This window comes from Homo sapiens, chromosome 10 (genome assembly GCF_000001405.40).
Source record: "Homo sapiens chromosome 10, GRCh38.p14 Primary Assembly".
NCBI classification, from domain to species: domain Eukaryota; kingdom Metazoa; phylum Chordata; class Mammalia; order Primates; family Hominidae; genus Homo; species Homo sapiens.
In genome coordinates, this window is record NC_000010.11 from 114,942,933 (window position 1) to 114,961,637 (window position 18,705).

Genomic DNA, 18,705 nt, shown 5'->3' on the forward strand with positions numbered 1-18,705 from the left:
AGAAATAGCTACTTTTATGTGTGGATGGGACTTTGAAAAAAGGTTTCTCTCTGTGCAGAAAAGAGTTAACATAGCAGGCCTGAAATTACTATCTTTAGAAAGGCTTGCTTGGACAGCTTGCCCTTGGTTGGTATCTGGGAACTTGGATTTTGGGAGTGTTCCCACCCTTCTCTGTCTGATAAGGCTGGTTGGCTGTGCCTCAGATGTTCTGAGAACACCAGCTTTCCTTCTAGGAATCTGGAATTTTGTTCCACTGCTAAGGCAGAGGGTGCCTGAGTGATCATCCTGTCAAATCCCCAATAAAAGCTTTGGGCACTGGGGCCGGGTGCAGTGGCTCATGCCTGTAATCAGCACTTTGGGAGGCTGAGGCGCGTGGATCACAAGGTCAGGAATTCGAGACGAGCCTGACCAACATGGTGAAACCCTGTCTCTTCTAAAAATACAAAAATTGGCTGGGTGTGGTGGCATGTGCCTGTAATCCCAGCTACTTGGGAGGCTGAGGCAGAAGAATCACTTGAACCTGGGAGGCAGAGTGTTCAGTGAGCCGAGATCGCACCACTGCACTCCAGCCTGGGCGACAGAGGGAGACTGTCTCAAAACAAAACAAAACAAAACAAAACACAGCTTTGGGCACTGAGTTTCTAATGAGCTTCCCTGAGAGAAACATTGCACATGTGTTACCGCTTTTTTTGTTGTTGGAGAAAGCAGCACGCTTGAGCATCCCCTCACAGGAGGGAGAGAGGATAAGGAAGCTTGTGCCCAGATTTCTCTGTGTCTTTTTCTCTTATGGTCCAGCTGTGTATTCTTACTACATCACTGTAAAATTCTGAGCTATATATCAATCTTCGAATGTGGGCTGGTCTTGGGGATTCCTGACAAGGTAGAAGGCTCTGTTTGTCTGCCTATCTCTAATCTAATCTCTGAGATCAACTCTCTTGAGAAGGGGAAGCTTGAGAGTAAGTCATTTTCGGCTGGAGATGTATTAGTTGACCGTTTTATTGCTTGTGAAGGAAAATTGGTAGAATTGATCGAAGGGAATAAAAATATTTTATCCTTTTTTATTCCATCTTTTTTTTTTTTTTTTTTTTTTGCACCTGGTAGAGATTCTGAAGTCCAACTTAATGGACTGCTAAAGTGTGTATACACAGGCTAGGGTATATTTTACTCTGTAACTGCATCCTTAGTCACAGAACTACCTACATACATTGGGATCCCTCTCAGTGCCCCCTTCCCGACATATGAGAAACAAACTTTTATGGAACAATACTTATCTTTTTACATGCTCTGGTATTTTATATTTTATTCAGTTTCATTTAGAGCAAAAATTAGGTACAAAGAAACAACAGCAAACCTTGATCTAAGCTATCCAAAGTAAATGAGCGCTTATTTAAAAGGATAAAATCGGTGAAGAAAATAGTATGCTTCAAGAACATTATATACTGTATGATTTTGTATTTTCTAAAATTATAGATTTATGTTGGCAATAATATTTTTACTTGAGGTTAAAATAGAAAAAATCAGTTCGAGACCAATCTGGCCAACATGGTGAGACCCTGTCTCTACTAAAAATACAAAAATTAGCCGGGCATGGTGGCATGTGCCTGTAATGCCAGCTACTCGGGAGGCTGAGGCAGGAGAATCACTTGAACCCAGGAGACAGAGGTTGCAGTGATCTGAGATCGCGCCACTGCACTCCAGCCTGGGTGACAAGAGTGAAACTCTTGTCTCAGTAAATAAATAAATAAACAAACATAAAATAGAAAAAAATCAGGCTGGGCACAGTGACTCATGCCTATAATCCCAGTACTTTGGGAGGCCGAGGTAGGTGGATTGCTTGAGCCCAAGAGTCCAAGACCAGCTTAGACAATGTGGCGAAACCCCATCTCTATAAAAAATTAAAAAATTAGCTGGGTGTGGTGACACATACCTATAGTCCCAGCTACTTGGGAGGCTGAGGTGGGAGGATCACTGGAGCCTGGGAAGTTGAGGCTGCAGTGATCTGTGATTGCACCACTGCACCCCAAAAAAACAAGCACAACAAAACAAAAACCCCAGTTAATAATAACAAGCATTTATTGAGCATTTACTGTATATAAGGTCTTCAGTTTTGGGTATTCATAAGTTCTATAGTTTAATTCTCATTGTAACCTATAAGAGAGGTTATTACTATCCCCATTTTACAGAAGAAGAAAGGAAGACCCTGAGAGATAAAGTAACATGTTCACTGTCATAGAATTAGTGAGTGACAAAGTCAGGATTTGAGCCCAGATCTGCTCAGTTCCAAATCATCTGCCCTATTGTGGATGGCAGATACCTGGTGCTCCTGCTTTTGTTCCTCATGCCCTGTGCTCTTGGCAGAAATTAGGGCTTCATGATTCTTACCAGCTTAGCACTTCAGTAGCCTATACCAGTTGATTAGAGTTGGCCTTTGAGTTGAAGCCTGTGTTTCTAACCCTTCTGCTTTACTGTTTTCCAGGCATGGCACCACAAATACAAGGAAAGAGAGGATCAGATCAGTTGCTTGTTTACGAATAGATCAATTCTATTAATTTCGGGTGGCGGTTCTTCATTGGCATGCAGAAAATAGTGATATTCAAGGCAGTGAATGAAAGTTTAGTTTTTACCCTGAACCTAAGGCTAGCTTGTCCAACCTTTGGCCTGTGGGCTGCACGTGGCCTAGGGCAGCTTTGAATGCAGCCCTACACAAATCTGTAAACTTTCTTAAAACATCATGAGTTTTTTTGTGATTTTTATTTTTTTTAAGCTCATCAGCTATCGTTAGTGTATTATGTGTGTGGCCCAAGACAATTCTTCTTTCATTGTGACCCAGGGAAGCCAAAAGATTGGACACTCTTGGCCTAAGGGATCTTGTTGAAGCTTCCATTTTAGTATTGTGAAGGGGCTGAGATTTGTATGCGTGGAAGAAATTGTATTGGAAACAGTTTTCTGGTTGGAGGCTCAATTTATATTTGATCACACAGGGAATTTTATGATGATATAATATGTTCATATGTCAGATGTATTAATTTTTCTTTTAATGCATGTGATTTCCGAGGAGAGAGAAAGTTTAAAAAATTGTAGGTGTTTAGTCACAGAGTAAGGGATGTTTGTTGTCCAAGTTAGCAGTTCTGGAAACTTATGAGAAGTCGATTTTTGATTGTGTGATAAAATAAACACTGAACTCTAATCATACTTCGGTTTGTACACTGGCTACTGGCTGCTTTAGTTACTAACTGTATACATCCTAAGAAAATCTCGTAACTTCACTGAACGTGTCTTCATCTCTTAAAAGAAGATAACGTCTACCAAAACTAAGTCAAAAGGTTTTCAAAAATATTTTACAAAATACCTATAGTATATAGATATATACTTTATCCTGTGAAGTGCTGTATACAGGTCTTTTTTATTTTTATTTATTTATTTTTTTGAGATGAGTCTTGCTCTTGTTGTCCAGGCTTGAGTGCGGTGGCGTGATCTCAGCTCACTGCAACCTCCACCTCCCAAATTCAACTGATTCTCCTGCTTCAGCCTCCTGACTAGCTGGGATTATAGGCGACTGCCACCATGCCCTGCTAATTTTTGTATTTTTAGTAGAGTCAGGGTTTCATCATGTTGACCAGGGTGGTGTTGGACTCCTGATCTCAAGTGATCTGCCCACCTCTGCCTCCCAAAGTGCTGGGATTACAGGTGTGAGCCACCATGCCCGGCCAAAAGGTCTTTTTTGAAACAAACAAACAAACAAACAAAACTAAAACTGGACCTATGCAAAAAAAATATACTTTTACTTTCAACATTTTTTTTTGCAATATTAATGGTGCAGATTAAGAATTTAGCTGACAATTTAAGATTATAACCTGAAATTCAGGTTTATAATTCTATAGCATAATTGCTAGAGGGTTCACAAGTTTCTCAAAAATACGTGGTAGGCAAAATAATGGCCCTCTAAAGGTGTCTGTGTCCTAATTTCCATAACCTGTGAATATATTAGGTTACATCACAAGGAACATTAGGGTTGTAGATGGAATTGATGTTGCTAATCAGCTGACTTTAAGATAGATTATCCTGGAATTTCCAAGTGGACCCAATGTAATCACAATATTCTTTAAAAGTGGAAGAGGAGGCAGAAGAGAGAGTCAGAGGAGATGTGGCAGTGGAAGCAGAGGTTGGAGTAATGTGGTTGCTGGCTTTGAAGAGTGAAGGGGATCACAAGCCAAAGAATGGGGGCAGCCTCTAAAAGCTGGAGGAGGCAAAAAAAAAAAGGTCCTCTACGGAGGCTCTAGTGAAGGATTCTCCCCTAGCACCTCCAGAGAAGAACACGGTCAAGCCAACCCTTTGATTTTAAGCCTAGTTAAACCTGTTTCAGGCTTCTCACCTCCCCAACTATGTGATAAAAAGTTTGTATTGTTTTAAGACAGATTGGTAATTTGTTAACAGTAGCAATAGGAAAGGAATACACCTATTTATCATAAATCACTTAAAATGTAAATAAAATTTCTATATACCATTTCAAAAAAATTTTTTTAACTTTAGAGGTTATAGAAACAGTGAGAAAATTTAGAAAATACAAGAAAGTTGCAAATAAAAAATTATCCATTTTCCACCTTTCATCAATAGTCAGTTAACATTTTTGCCATATTTCCTTGTAGCTTTTTGTCTATGCAGATTTTTAAAGTTGAGATCTACTTCACTGTGTATACTTATATATCCATTTTTTTAAACTTAACATTGTAACATAAACATTGTTCATGTTGATAAGCTCTTTGTAAACTTTATTTTTAATGGCTATAAAATGTTCCATCATATGGCTAAAATACCATTTATTAACCATTTCCCTATTTGAGGTCACTGAGGTTATCACCAGAGTTTTGTCAGAACTGATTTTGTGAGAGATGTCTTTATAGATAGAACTTTTTGTTTGTTTTGTTTTTAGTTTTTACCCACACATCTGTATCAGCCAGATGTTTCAGATTCTTAAAATAGATTCCTACGATTGGAAAGATACAGGTCTTGTAAGATGATCCTACAGAAAGCTGGAAATACATGTATAGAGTCCATGCCTGTCCTAAAGAGACTCTCATCATAAACAAATTCTATCTTTTTGATTTGAGAATGGGATACTAGGACATTGGATAAGTTTGGAGATAGTTATTTTTGTTTTTGTTTTTTTAACGGAAAAGACATTTGAGTGAGCACAGAACACTTGGGAGATAGAGTAGGAGAGTAGTAATTGTGCAACAGTGCATGGAAAACCCCGTTATTCATCTGCTCTCTAAATTCTCCACACCTTTTCAAATGTGGTGCCTTTGCTCATGTTTTTCTTTTATAAGCTGCTCATCTCTCTCAGCACCTTTGGTTGTAGAAGTCCTACTGACCTTTCCAGGTTCAGCTGAAATGCCATTTCCTACCTTTGAAGCCTGCCTGCTGCTCTTCTATACTGCTAATGTAAAATTTCATTTTGTTCTTTTAGTTTTTGTTAATATCTGTCTCCCTATTATATTGTTAAATCACAGCTGAAGCCAGGTCTTATTTATTTCTGTACCTACACAATAAGTACTGGATACAATTTTGAATGATTGAAGGGAAAAAATGCCGAGTAAAAATTCTGTCCGGGAAACTAACCTGTGAATGAAAAGCTGCTGGTTGGCTAGGTCCCAACTCCAGATAATTTTTCTATATGCCACCACCATATTAGTCTTCCTAAAATTCTGCTTTCACTAATCACCTCACTTCAATGGCATTTGGTTATTCTTAGGTTAAAATGAGAGGATTAAGCTGGGTAACTCTAAGATGGCTTCTTTTAAATTTTATCCTTCTGGGTCACTAAACTAGCTCAGAAACCATCATGAGTTCAGTATTTCAGCCATGTTAAAGTCAAACATGTCAGTCTGCTTCTAAGACACCCTGTGTTCAGTTGATAAACCTACTGTTCTCATCCTTGTATCTGAGAGTTTGTGCAATTATTTTCTTTTTTAGAACATGCTTCTCTTCTCTCTGTTGTGTTCCCTATACATCCTTCAAAGGCCTAATACAAACTCCGAAATGCTTGAATGAAGCATTCTCCGGCCTCTTTAGCCGTTTAGGATGCTCCCACCTTTGCCCTGCTTTGGCAGCGGTTCTCTCTCTGTTCATTTGACACTTAATCATATACTATCATATTGTTATTTAGCATTATTCACTCATTAGGCAACATTTCTTGAGCACTGTGATTTTTCTGTATTTTATTTTCCTGATGAGATTATAAGCTGTTTCAGAGTTAGGAAATGTGTCACAGGTTTCTTTGTTTTTCCATTGGAAGTATTCCTCTTGGGATTATGTGCATAGTAGTTGTTCAAGAAAAATTGATTGGAGATTTATTTGAATGGAATCAAGTCGCATTGAATCTTTCCTGTTTGCCTCATCAGCAGCAGTATCTACAAGTTCTGTCATTTGAAGAGTATTATGCTCTTCAGAGGATTACTGAGGACAGACTGTTTTTGATCTTAGACCTTGAACTATATGACTTAGAAGGACAATACAGATGAGTGTCATAGAGGTTTTGAGGAGGTTGGAATAGACTTTATGAATGAGTTGGGGCTTGAGCTGGGCTTCAAAGGATTGACTTTGAATACTTTAATAAGGAGTTGGTGCTGTAGGCACTGGGACCCTACTAAGGATTGTTTGGGGGGCTTTGTAATGTGAAAAATAGGGTTTCAGAAATGGTTATGAAGTGGTATGAATTGGAAGAGGAAGGGATAGGATGTAGAACCGTCAGGTTTGCAGGGATGTAGGCTGGTTGCAGTGAGGAGAAAGCCTAGGTGAGTTAAGGTGGCAGAGGGAATGGAAAGGAAGGGGGGTCTGTTCTTAGACCATTTGGTTTGAATCTTAACTCTACCAGGTACTGGTTGTGAGATGCTGGACAAAGTTCTTAGTCTCTTATTCCTGTTTCCTCATCTATCAACAGGGGTAATTATACTATCTTTTAAAGTTTTTTTTTTTTTTTTTTTGAGACAGAGTTTTGCTCTTGTCACCCAGGCTGGAGTGCAATGGTGTGATCTTGGCTCACCGCAACCTCTGCCTCTTGGGTTCAAGCGATTCTCCTGCCTTAGCCTCCCAAGTAGCTGGGATTACAGGCATGCGCCACCATACCTGGCTAATTTTGTATTTTTAGTAGAGACGGGGTTTCTCCATGTTGGTCAGGTGGGTCTTGAACTCGTGACCTCAGGTGATCCGCCCGCCTCAACCTCCCAAAATGCTGGGATTACAGGCGTGAGCCAACACACCTGGCCTTTTAAAGTTGTTATAAGGATTAAATGGGATAATGAAAGGAGAGCATTTAGAGTAGAATCTGATACATGGTAAACTCACTGAATGGTATTTGCTGTAAATATTGGAGATATTTTTTCTAGTTTGCCAATCAGTAGTCCTTGTTTACTCTTATAATTCTGAATTGTGGTGATTGTATTGTGTTCTTATGCACAGTTATATCTGTTGATGACAAATATTTCTATACTTACAAAAATGTGGCTTCTTAACAAAAAGAGAAGTGACTAAATCCTCTCACCCTCACCAAGTGAAATGTGTTGACGTATGAATAATGTTTGAAATTTAAGAGAAAGGTAGGCCATTGTTGTACTTTGGGCTCTGTAAATACATTCTTCAGCCTTCATTTTACCTTGTATTCTTTGTGTTAGACTGATTTGTTATGTTTCTCTTTTCTTGATTGTATATACTGCTGGGTGCTAATCATCTTTAAATGGTTCATTAGCTGTGATAATGGCTTTTGCTTTGTTTAATAATGAATTCTGTCAAAAGACTTTATCATACCCACTTGAACATGGTTAATTGTGCCGTGTGTTTTTCACTGGTGCCCATATAAAATTCCAGTGCGTCCTTTGAGATTGTTCTAAGGCTTCATTGTCTAATTGGCTGGGTTAAGGTTTCTACTGAGTTTAATACTTTGAGAATGGGGAGAAAGGTCTTCTCTTGTCCCTTCTTTAGAATTTCTTAGTTGCATGACAAGTTCAACTGTTTGGAGTAATAGGAGCCCTAACATTTTGCTAAATATCTGTTCTTTCCCACTTCACATTACCTAAGCTGGGAAATTATGACCAAAAAATATAGCTATTTTAAAAACCTAGTTTTCAGAACAGAGTGTCATAATATTTCTTTCTTTGATTTGTAGTTGTTGGAATTGGAAGCGGAACAAAAATGTTGACCAGTATGTTGTCAGGGTCCAAGGTAAGAATACTGAAATAGTTCTATTTTTCTTTAATGTTCTTAATGATCTACATGTATTGGGTTTTTATCAAATAAAAAATAAACTGAGTAAACTGCATGAATGGGTATCATTCCTGAGTATTAATTATGTCTATAAACATATCTGAGATTGAAAATATCGAGACTGAAAATTGGAAATTCTTAATTGAAAAACCAATTAGACTTAAAGAAACAATGCTACAGTGCTCATCATTTAACAAAATTATATTTAGACTTTTAAAACATCATATTTCTTAGATGATTGGGACTTAGAGGTCATAAACTCTAGTGACAGACTTTTTTAAACCTTGGAATTTTTATAGAAACAATACCATTTTGTAAACTGTGCCCTTTGAGCAAAAATATGCTTTGTTCAATGGTTATAAATGTTTATTAAAGAAAAGAGTAGGGCCTCTTTAAGATGATAAAGTATGTTCATATATGAGAGTAACCTTGAATAGATCCAAAAGCACTTTTCCAGGCACTTGATAGAAGAGAGAAGGGGTTATTTGGAGGCAGGAGAGGCTGGAAAGCTGTGAACTGCTGGTAGAAGGGGTCTCTTCCATCTCTCAAAGAGAGAGTAATATCTGTATCCTAATGAGTAATTAGGTGCTGGTTATAAGTGCTGGGACTAAGGGTCAATGAAAATGCACGTGGAAGGAAGCTTAGTATGCCAAGAGGTAGCGAAAAATTTCATTATGTTCCTGGAATAAACTTTGTTTTAAAACTCTTGCTCTAAATGTGATATAAATTGTTGATAAAATGATTTTTGTTTCTTTAAAAAAATCTGTTGTCAAAGACCATTTAAAAAACAATTTCCAGTTCATTGCAGACTGATTGATGACTTTTGTAAAATATAATTAAAATACGGCAATGTAAAATTGCTAAATAAGTTTCTACGCAATCTCATTTTCTGAACTTATTATAGATAACTGGCCTGTGGAAAACACTTGACGTAGTAGTGGTTTAAGTATTAAAATAAAAGCCCTGACCGAGCGTGGTGTCTCATGCCTGTAATCCTAATACTTTGGAAGGCCGAGGCGGGCAGATCACTTGAGGTCAGGATTTCGAGACCAGCCTGGCCAACATGGTGAAACCCATCTCTGTTAAAAATACCAAAAAAAGTATCCAGGCGTGGTGCTATACACCTTTAATACCAGCTACTCGGTAGACTGAGGCAGGAGAATCACTTGAACCCAGGAGGCGGAGGTTGCAGTGAGCCAAGATCACGCCATTGCACGCCAGCGTGGGTGACAGAGTGAGATGACTCCATCTCAATAAATAATAAGTAAGGTAGGTAGGTAGGTAGGTAGATAGGTAGATAGGTAGGTAGGTAGGTAGGTAGATAGATACATAGATACATAGATTGATTGATTGATTGATCGATTGATTTTAAAAAGCCTCGGAGAACATATTGCATGTGATGTCTCATTTTGGTTATCAACTGGCATAAAAATCTGTGCCATTCAATTGGAAGGAATCTTAGTGCCTCTGATAAATGAAAAGCTTCAGTGTGGCTTGCTCTGTAATCTTCAAAATATTGGTGTTGAAAAATTACAGAGTATAAAAATTGCATTAGAATGAAGGTGTTTGACAGTTTCTCAGTAAATTTTTATACTGTGCTTACTGACACATAGAGTTTAGAATCTGTTTCTGATACTGGTTTTTGCCAGTTGTTTAATATTTGTTTCTGAACTCCCAAAGATGAACAATGTTTACTTTAATATGGGATTATGGATGATTTTTTTTTCACATTATTTGGTATTTTCTAAAATCTATACAATAAACAAGTCACTTTTATGTTAATAATAAAAAAGATATATTTACGTTAAGGAATTTGTTTGGGTTTTTTTACCAAGATAAAATATGTTGAGTTCATTGAGATATTCGTTGTTCACCCCTCCTCCCCCAAACCACAAACACAGCACACTATATATTACTGAAAGATTTTACTTGTAAATTTCAGGCATATTTTCAGAAATATTATGACTGAAAATGTAAATACATCATTGACTCTGGTATAAATTTTGTAACAGCCAATTTGCTGTTCAGCTACGAAAGCTGAATGTCATACAGTGAAATCACTGATCCTCAAAATGACTGTAACATAAATAGAATACCACAGGCACGTCTTGTTACAGAAACCTAGTTCTTAGGTATTTCAAAAATAGGCATCGTTGTCTTGTTAGCTATTTATATTTCTTATCCTTTTAATTTTATGTACCTGTTAAAAGAACTAAATCATTAAGAGTTTAATGTTGAAGATTATTTTTTAATAAAAAGTAGTTAAAAACTGTTAATAAATATTTTTTCTTTTTTTAAAAGCACTAGAAGGAATCTTAGAGATCATCTTATCTAGTGACTTTCAAAATTTTTTTGACTAAGACCCATAGTAAGAAACATATTTTATGTAATGACCATATAGATACATACATTTATGAAAAGGAAAAATTTTATCAAACAACTTTGTGTTAGTCTGTTTGTGTTGCTGTAAAGGAGTAGTCGAGGCTGGGTAATTTATAAAGAAAAGAGGTTCATTTGGCTCATGGTTCTGAAGTCTGTACAAGAAACAAGGTACTGGTATCTGCTTCTGGTGAGGGCCTCTGGAAGCTTACACTTGTGGCCATGTCGCATGGTGAGAGAGGGAGTGACAGAGAGAGAGGCGGAGGTGCCAGGCTCTTTTAAACAGCCAGATCTCGCGTGAACTCATTGCAGGGAGGGCACCAAGCAATTAATGCAGGATCCGCCCTCATAACCCAGACAATTCCCACCATGCCCCACCTCCAACACTGGGGATTATATTTCAACATGAGATTTGGAGGGGGCAGACATCCAAACTTTATCCAACTCTAACCCTATGTATGATGTATTCTTGATACTTTTCCTTCTATTTCATTAAAAAAAAAAATGTGGCTGCAGCCCCCTAACTTGGCCCAGATCTAATGTCCACTTTTTCTTCACTTCCTATTTTGACAGATGAATTTTTATTTGCATCACAGTGCAACTAGAAAAATTAGACTTCTGGTATGTGTAGGATGGAGTTACGTCAAGAGTAGAAATATTTAGTTCTAGGATGGCAAATATTCAGTGTTCTTGTTACAGCCATATTACAGAACAGCCTTCTCTCCCTAGCCAGTCGTAATTGGAGATATTGCTAATTGAACATGGCCTAACATTTCTTCTTGCTGAATCAAGAAACACCCTTAGAATCTTCTTCAACATGGTGCCACTTCATACAACTACTGTCACTTACTAGATGAAATTCTGGCTTTTAAGTAAAATCTTTAGGCCATCACATTATTTTGCTTCCATCTGTGAAGACTAGACACTAATCAGACCACCCAAATCATTTCTTGCATTTCCTCCCATTCAGATCAGGGTAAAAGTTAAGAAAAGAGCCACTGCTCTGTGTTCCTCATTGTCTTCCTCTCCTGCCTTGGAGTGAGCTTTGTTCTGCCAGTGATCATATTTCTCAAGTCTTTTTTTTTTTCCCTGTGCCTGATCATTTAGGATTATGTGTATAATGTGTGTGAAAAGCATGTGAACTTTTTGTACAGTGCCTTGTGTATGGAAATTGCTCATTAAATACTGTTATTACTATTCCCAAGTATTTTACTTATCCCCAAGTCTCTCTCTTGAGGTCCAGGCCTGTTGGAGCTTTCTAGCCACATGTTCTGTAGACACCTGAAATTAATTTTACTCAGGCAAGTTCTGTTGGAACTCTTGAATACAGTTAATTTCTTTTTTTTTTTTCATGGCTATCTGTGATTGCTGGTGATGTAGGCAAAATATTGCACTCATCAGAAAGAGAAAGCATGCCAGTTCTTTAAGGGAGAGACAGACTTTCCTTGGACATTAAAGCCAGAAAGAAGTTTCTGACAATAAGAGATATTAAATGACAGATAGATGGTGATTTTCAAAAATAGTTTTACAACAGATGTAGAAATGGAGCTACATAAAATACAGTTTAGGTAAAATTCTGAGAGGTTAGGCTGATGTGTTCCTTTGGCCTAAGTTGATCTAAGTATAAAACGTTGCTTACCTAGAGGAGGGCAAATAGCCCCTCTTATATCTTCCCTAAATTACACTTTCTTTGAGCCAGTCATTCAGCAAAAGCTGGATAGCAGATGTCGTACTTTGAAGGAACAGACAGAAGGAACAGAAGAAAACAGATGAGGTTTTGGAGTGCTGTCTTTATTAGTTTTCTATATTGTTGATCAAAGTTGGTTACTTTATAAATGCTTTAGAAACCAGATGGAAAGGTTATGAAAACCTGAATAATCTAACTAGCATGTCCAGATATAAAGGTACCTCCATATCTCTGTGCAGGTAAACCATAGTGGCACCTGCAGGCAAAGCCAGCATCTCCTCAGAAGGCAACTTTGTATCCCCCTCCAGTAGTTAAACAAGTGTCATCATTGGAGTGAATGAAGTTTCCCCTTCTTGGTGTGGTCAAAGGATAGTAACTTTCCCCAAGAACACAGTAACATTTTTAGGTTAACCAGTTATGAGAACTCTAAAGTGTGGCTTGAGTAATGCTCCTATGAAACTTAGCCAACTCTTGAAGATTTCAGCATTTCTAATCAGTTTTCTCCAGAGGCTAGTCCAGTTTGTACCTTTTCTATATACGCTATTAATTTTCATATATTTCATAAATACTGTATTGAAAATTTTAAAGGGCTTATACTTATGAACTATAAAAAAGGACTGTTCCTTCTTAATGAAGACATTCAAAGCCACATGTTTTTGGTTTGATAGGTTTTTTAAAAAGTGTTCTTTCTCATCCTCAGTAATATCCCTATTTTGTTTGTGAAGGTTTAAATCACAAGCTTTCAAAATCACACCTCAGTTGAGATCCAAGGAAATGATTGTGTGTATACTTTCTGTAGTAGAAACATTTTTCTTTCTCCTAAACAGAACAGAAGCTGATTTGCTGCTAGAGATGTCTAGCTAATACCTGCTGTGGGGTTTAGGGAGCTTGACGATGAGTAAAGTAGAGAGTAGAATAATACCAGTGAGAAACTGTGAGTCCCAGAGAGTACACAGGTCAATGGAATGTTCTTCAGGACCTCTCTTTTGTTGCAGTAGAATTACATTGTAATGAATACAGTAGTAGAATTCACGGTTCCCAGGTATACGTCTTGGAGAATTAACAACTCCAAAGCACAGACTCTACGTAGAATTTAAGCCAGTGAAAAGAAATATTTTAGACTCCATAAGATAAAATGTTAGGGTTGAATGTGTGTATCTCCATGTCTTTTTTCTTCTATCCCAATATCTTTTTGGTCGTGAGGCTTTGTTTCAGCTGAAGGCTTAACTGTGTGGGTGAATTTTTCTAAATGGTTTGTGGATAATTGAATAAAATTGAAGGATAATTATAACTAGATGCCAGGACAAGGGAAAGCTAGGAGACAGCTGATTTCAATCATCGGTTCGCAGGGTGTGGTCTAAGGACTCCTGAGACTCTTTCAGGGTGTCTGTTGAAATTGAAACTATTTTCATAGTTTTGCCTTTTTAACTTGCAATCCCACAAATACATGGTAGAGTTTTTCAGAGATTACTAGATGTGCAATGACATCATTGCTCTGATGGCTAATGGAAGTTTTAAACATTTTTCAGCTTTAATTTCTAATACAATAAATCTAGGCAGATATAACATGTTTTTAAAAAATGTGTGCCAGGGTTTCTCAATAAGTTTTAAGTGTGTATAGGAGTTCTGAAAGCAAAATGTTTGAGAACATTTTGATTTGATTTGATTTGAGAATGTTGATTTAGATATTGTCTCCCCTAAAAAGAATCCAGCACGTAGCTACATACAATATAATTGCAGACCCTGGAGTGGGTTGAGACTTAGCAGATGAAATCTAGATATTCAAAACTATGGTGAAATGTGAAGAATTGCACACATAGGCACTTCTCTAGCATGTGTATCATTCTGTCAGCAACTTTTTATTAAGCTGCTACTGTGTTTCTATTTAGGAAAGAACACAATAGATGAGCAATGGGAAACTCTAGCTGAGAGTTCATACTTGCAGAAAGTAAGGATCAATAAAGTATACTTGGAAAACAGTGAATATCTCTGTAGGTCATCATGTGCTAAGATGTGTGATATGTGTGATATGAGAGCTCAGTGAGATAAACCAGACATGTCTGTTGTTGCCATTATATCCAGTCCTCTCTGCAGTAGTTGTGTTTATTGAAGTTTTCCTGTTACACTGTAACCTCTTAGAGGGAGAGCAATCTATCTTATGTATCTGTGTATCCTTCCCTAGCACTTAGGAGAATACTTTGGACATTCATAGTCCTTAAGAAACATGATCGAATTTGTGGATTTGATATATGCCTTCCTTCTTTCTATGTATGGAATTTGTATCGAGCACCTACTCTTAGTCATGCTGTGGAGGTGGGTAAATGGAAGTTGGGATGGATTAAGGGGTGGCTTTGAAAGCTGAATAAGGTTTGATCCTTAGAGAAGAGTGGGAGTTCAAGGCCAGGGAAGTGGCATATGTGCCCCAGGTGCACAAAACACCAAGAGTCCAGAGACTAGAATGGGCATTGCATACTTGGGAAACATGTTAAGGTTCCTAGTTCAAACTCGTTGCAGAGCAGAATACTGCAGATACATTCAAGGCATAGTCTGCAAGATTGCACCATGGTTTTCTTATGCAACTAAACAGACTCTAAAGACAAAAAAATCATAAAGCATTTTGATGCTTTGCTTTCCTTATGGGAGCTGACTGTAACCAGATGAGTCAACTCTAGCCACTGTTAACTGCGAATCATTCTGTATTTTCTTTCTTAGAAAATAAAGATGATGATGGTATTATTATCTGTTATTTACCAGGGCTAGATATTGTTACTCTAAACTCTTTGCTTCTTCTCATGAGGCATTATTGTTTTCCACATTTTAAGATAAGGAAATTAAGCTCCAGCCGGAAAGACTAACTTGGTCTACAAATTGTGGTACAGTCAGAATTCAAATCCAGCCAGTTGACCCTGAGCCTGTGCTGTTACCATTGTTGTACTTCTCTCATACTTCCCCCTGTGGTATGCTTAGTCGAGGTTGATTGTCCCAAAATATAGAAGCAGGAATGGGTGTCTCAGGTGATGAGACTGTGTTTAGTTACAAAAAACTAATTTTTGTCAATACCTATGAAACTTTAAAAAAATTAATTGAAATGCGTTGGAATATTCCCTTCTGTATTATATTTATTTTTAAAAAATCTGAGCTAGATAATATTAAGGTGATTTCATCGAAGGGCCTTAAGCTGTTATAAAATGTCTGCATACTTACAAGGTTTTGAAGTTTTAATATTTTTCTCATTTTTGTCTTGGGTCCCTTCACTAGCCTCATAAATTTGTCATGAATAAGCTTATATTTCTGCAAAGTACTTTGAGTTTTCTTTTATAAAATTGCTCACATAAATACAGATTATTTTCAGTGGGAAATAAAGTTCTTGCACTTTTTTCACTACTTCATGTGATGCCCCAAATAAAATTTGCGTTTGACCAAAGTGAAAAGAGTACGTACTACAAGTGTGTCCTAAGATGAGAAATAAGACAATCCTCACGTAACTAAGAATGATCTAATTCTTCACTTGTGAATAAAGATCAGTTCTTAGAAACGATTCTTGTTCCTGAGATCTTAAGTAGTAATTTATCTTTATTAAGAAAACACATGGCCGGGCGTGGTGGCTCACGCCTGTAATCCTAGCACTTTGGCTTTGGGAGGCCGAGGTGGGTGGATCACCTGAGGTCAGAAGTTCGAGACCAGCCTGACAACATGGTGAAACCCCATCTCTACTAAAAATACAAAAAATTAGCCGGGCGTGGTGGCGGGTGCCTGTAATCCCAGCTACTCCACAGGGTGAGGCAGGAGAATCGCTTGAACCCGGGGGACGGAGGTTGCAGTGAGCCGAGATCGCACCACTGCACTGCAGCCTGGGCAGCGAGCAAAACTCCATCTCAAACAAACAAACAAACAAAAAACACATTTAATAGTTAAGTCACTAATTCTGTGACTATACTGGTTTTGCTCTTTTTCTACAGATTTAGCTTTTGTTTAATACATGACCTAGTTACTAAGAATTGTCTTAGTATTTCATGTAAGAAGTACTAAGTTGGCTTATTTAAAATTAATTTTAATTGTATATGTGGGAAGATTATTGAATCTTATGATGACCATGGAGTCAAGGCTATTGTACCATTCTCTCTACTCATGGATAGACTTGAACATTTTCCTTAAACAAACTTCTCAGTATAAAGGTGGTTTGAGAAATTTGCTTACAATAATAATGGTCATAATTATTAAGCCATAATTATCAATAAAATCAGGTTTATCTTTCTCATATTGGCTAGTGTGAGACGTTTGTTAATGTTCTTCAGTTTACACAATTGCTTTCCACATATTAAAAACAAAACAATTGCAGTCTGTTGTTTTAGCCTGTATTTTGTATCAGGTTGGTAGTAGTAGTGAAATTCTGTGTAAACTTCAAGACATGCATAACAGTTTTTGTTTGCCTCACGGCCCATTTTCTCTCTTGTTTCCCTTCCTCTAGAGATATACTGCCATTGGAGAACTGGGGAAAGCTACTGATACACTAGATTCTACGGGGAGGGTAACAGAAGAAAAACCTTACGGTATGAAGCTCATCTAATGTAGGCCTCTTTTCTAACATTTAGGAAAAGTTTCTGTGCAGGTAGCATTTTAAAACAAATCTCTGATATTATCAGCCATTTTAATTCTCAGTGTGTTTCTTTGGGCTAAGAAGATTGGAAATTGTTTATCGCATTGTTGCTTACTTGATAGGAGTTTTTGAATAAAGATTTATTGTGATTGCCTCTTTTTCTATAGTGATGTTTTAAGTGTTCAGAATTATTCTTCCAAATAACCTCCTTGCAAAAGCATGTATGGCTAGGATTTAGGTTATTTTCCCTAGTAAACGAGAAACAAAGCAGAGATACTCTGTTAGATTTCATCTGTCTTGCCATTAAAAAAAAATATATTACCTGTCAGCTGTTGAAATAAATGTACCAGGTTTAGTACTTTAAAACTTGTCATGTTTTTGTGCTTTCGGACTATGTAAAAAGAGGACAGAGGGCAAGCTATTTCTCTGGAAGTAAACCAGAACTCACTGGGGCCCACCTTAAGTTTCCTACTATCCCTTCTTTCACTACCGTAAGGAAGAATAGATAAATTAAATGGTCTCCTAGCAACTCTCACAGTGCTTATGCTGTTTATAATGCAGCAATTGCAGTTTTCTAAGTCAGTTCACCTGCATCATTATGTCACCAATTTGTGGACTGTTTTTTTGTTTAGTGTTATCTCTTAGTCATAGGCAAGCCAGCATTTGGCCCCCTTATATTTTTGTGTTGATTATCCTTATTACGTACTGCATATTGCCCCAGTAGTGAGGCCAACCTTTTTATTGTTCATAATAGCTTCATTTTTTCTGTTAACATTTATATGTAGCTTAGTATCTTGCTCAATTAATCAAGCAACATAATGAAAAGAAAAATTACTGATTGATTTCAAGGCTTTTCAAAAACAGATGTTGAAATATTCTTGGAATTATTATTATTAATAAATAATAGCAGACCCTCACTTAACTGAAAGCCAGCTATAACCTTCAACCAGAAGACTTTAAGATTAAGGAGGCATAGGGCAATAGGAGGACGTCAGAGACTTCCAGAGGATACTAAAGTATTTATAAGTACTTATGTAATTAAGTCTCCTGTATCTCTGACTCCATTTACCAAACCATAATAAGGAGAATGATTATTATTCAGAACAGTAGTCCTGGGGTAATATAATTAAGGCTGGGGGGTGTGGGTACCACGTGGTGAAAAATATAAGGCGCACTAGAGTAGACAAATCTGGGTTTAATTTCTAGCTCTGCCCTTATCTAGCTGCGCAAATTTGAAATTTTCTTAGTCTCTTTATGTTGTAGTTTTTCCATCTCCAAAATGACAATAATGATAGCAACCTCATAGTGTGATTATGAGGATTGATTGGAGGAGAATGAATTTGGAGGTCTCATAGACAAGTCATGAGGCTCTTATAGTAGTCCAAGCAGAGATGATGGTAAGTTGGACCAGGGTGCCAGTGGTAGAGACAGAGTTTTCCTATTAGAAAAATTTCCCATGATTAGGAAGTAAAATTAGCAAGACTTGATTTTTAGTTGATTGGACAGGATAGCGAGGAAGTTGTCAACCATGACCTAGGTTTTGGGGTTTTAAAATTGGTTACATGATAGTGTAATTCATTGAGGATGCTGGAAGGGGCCCAGGGTGACAAAAATACTTAAACATATCCTTTCTTCCTATTCTTAAGCATTTTAGTATTTTAAAAAGCTCTATGCTGTATTAGGTAATTTGTAACCTTATTTACTTACCTTAAAGAAAGCTCAGTTTGTTAAATCATCTCATTGTAATGATGCAGTAAATCATAGAGAAACTAAGAACGTTTTT

General features: G+C 37.3%; 1 protein-coding gene across 1 annotated transcript in view, besides 1 other annotated feature; it reads left to right on the forward strand.

The window, feature by feature from the left end:
* The window catches only part of TRUB1 (TruB pseudouridine synthase family member 1), a 39,482-nt gene that overhangs the window by 4,738 nt on the left and 16,039 nt on the right, over nucleotides 1-18,705 (forward strand). The window contains exons 3-4 of the mRNA NM_139169.5: nucleotides 8,162-8,217; nucleotides 16,794-16,875. Of these exons, the coding sequence (NP_631908.1) occupies nucleotides 8,162-8,217; nucleotides 16,794-16,875 (138 nt within the window). The remainder of the gene's footprint in view (nucleotides 1-8,161; nucleotides 8,218-16,793; nucleotides 16,876-18,705) is intronic.
* Nucleotides 10,335-10,384: a silencer, noted in NCBI's record as "silent region_2849". NCBI's record gives its function as "represses an Ori minimal core promoter by ATAC-STARR-seq in GM12878 lymphoblastoid cells {active_cell/tissue: GM12878}" and the evidence as "EXISTENCE:reporter gene assay evidence [ECO:0000049][PMID:35858748]".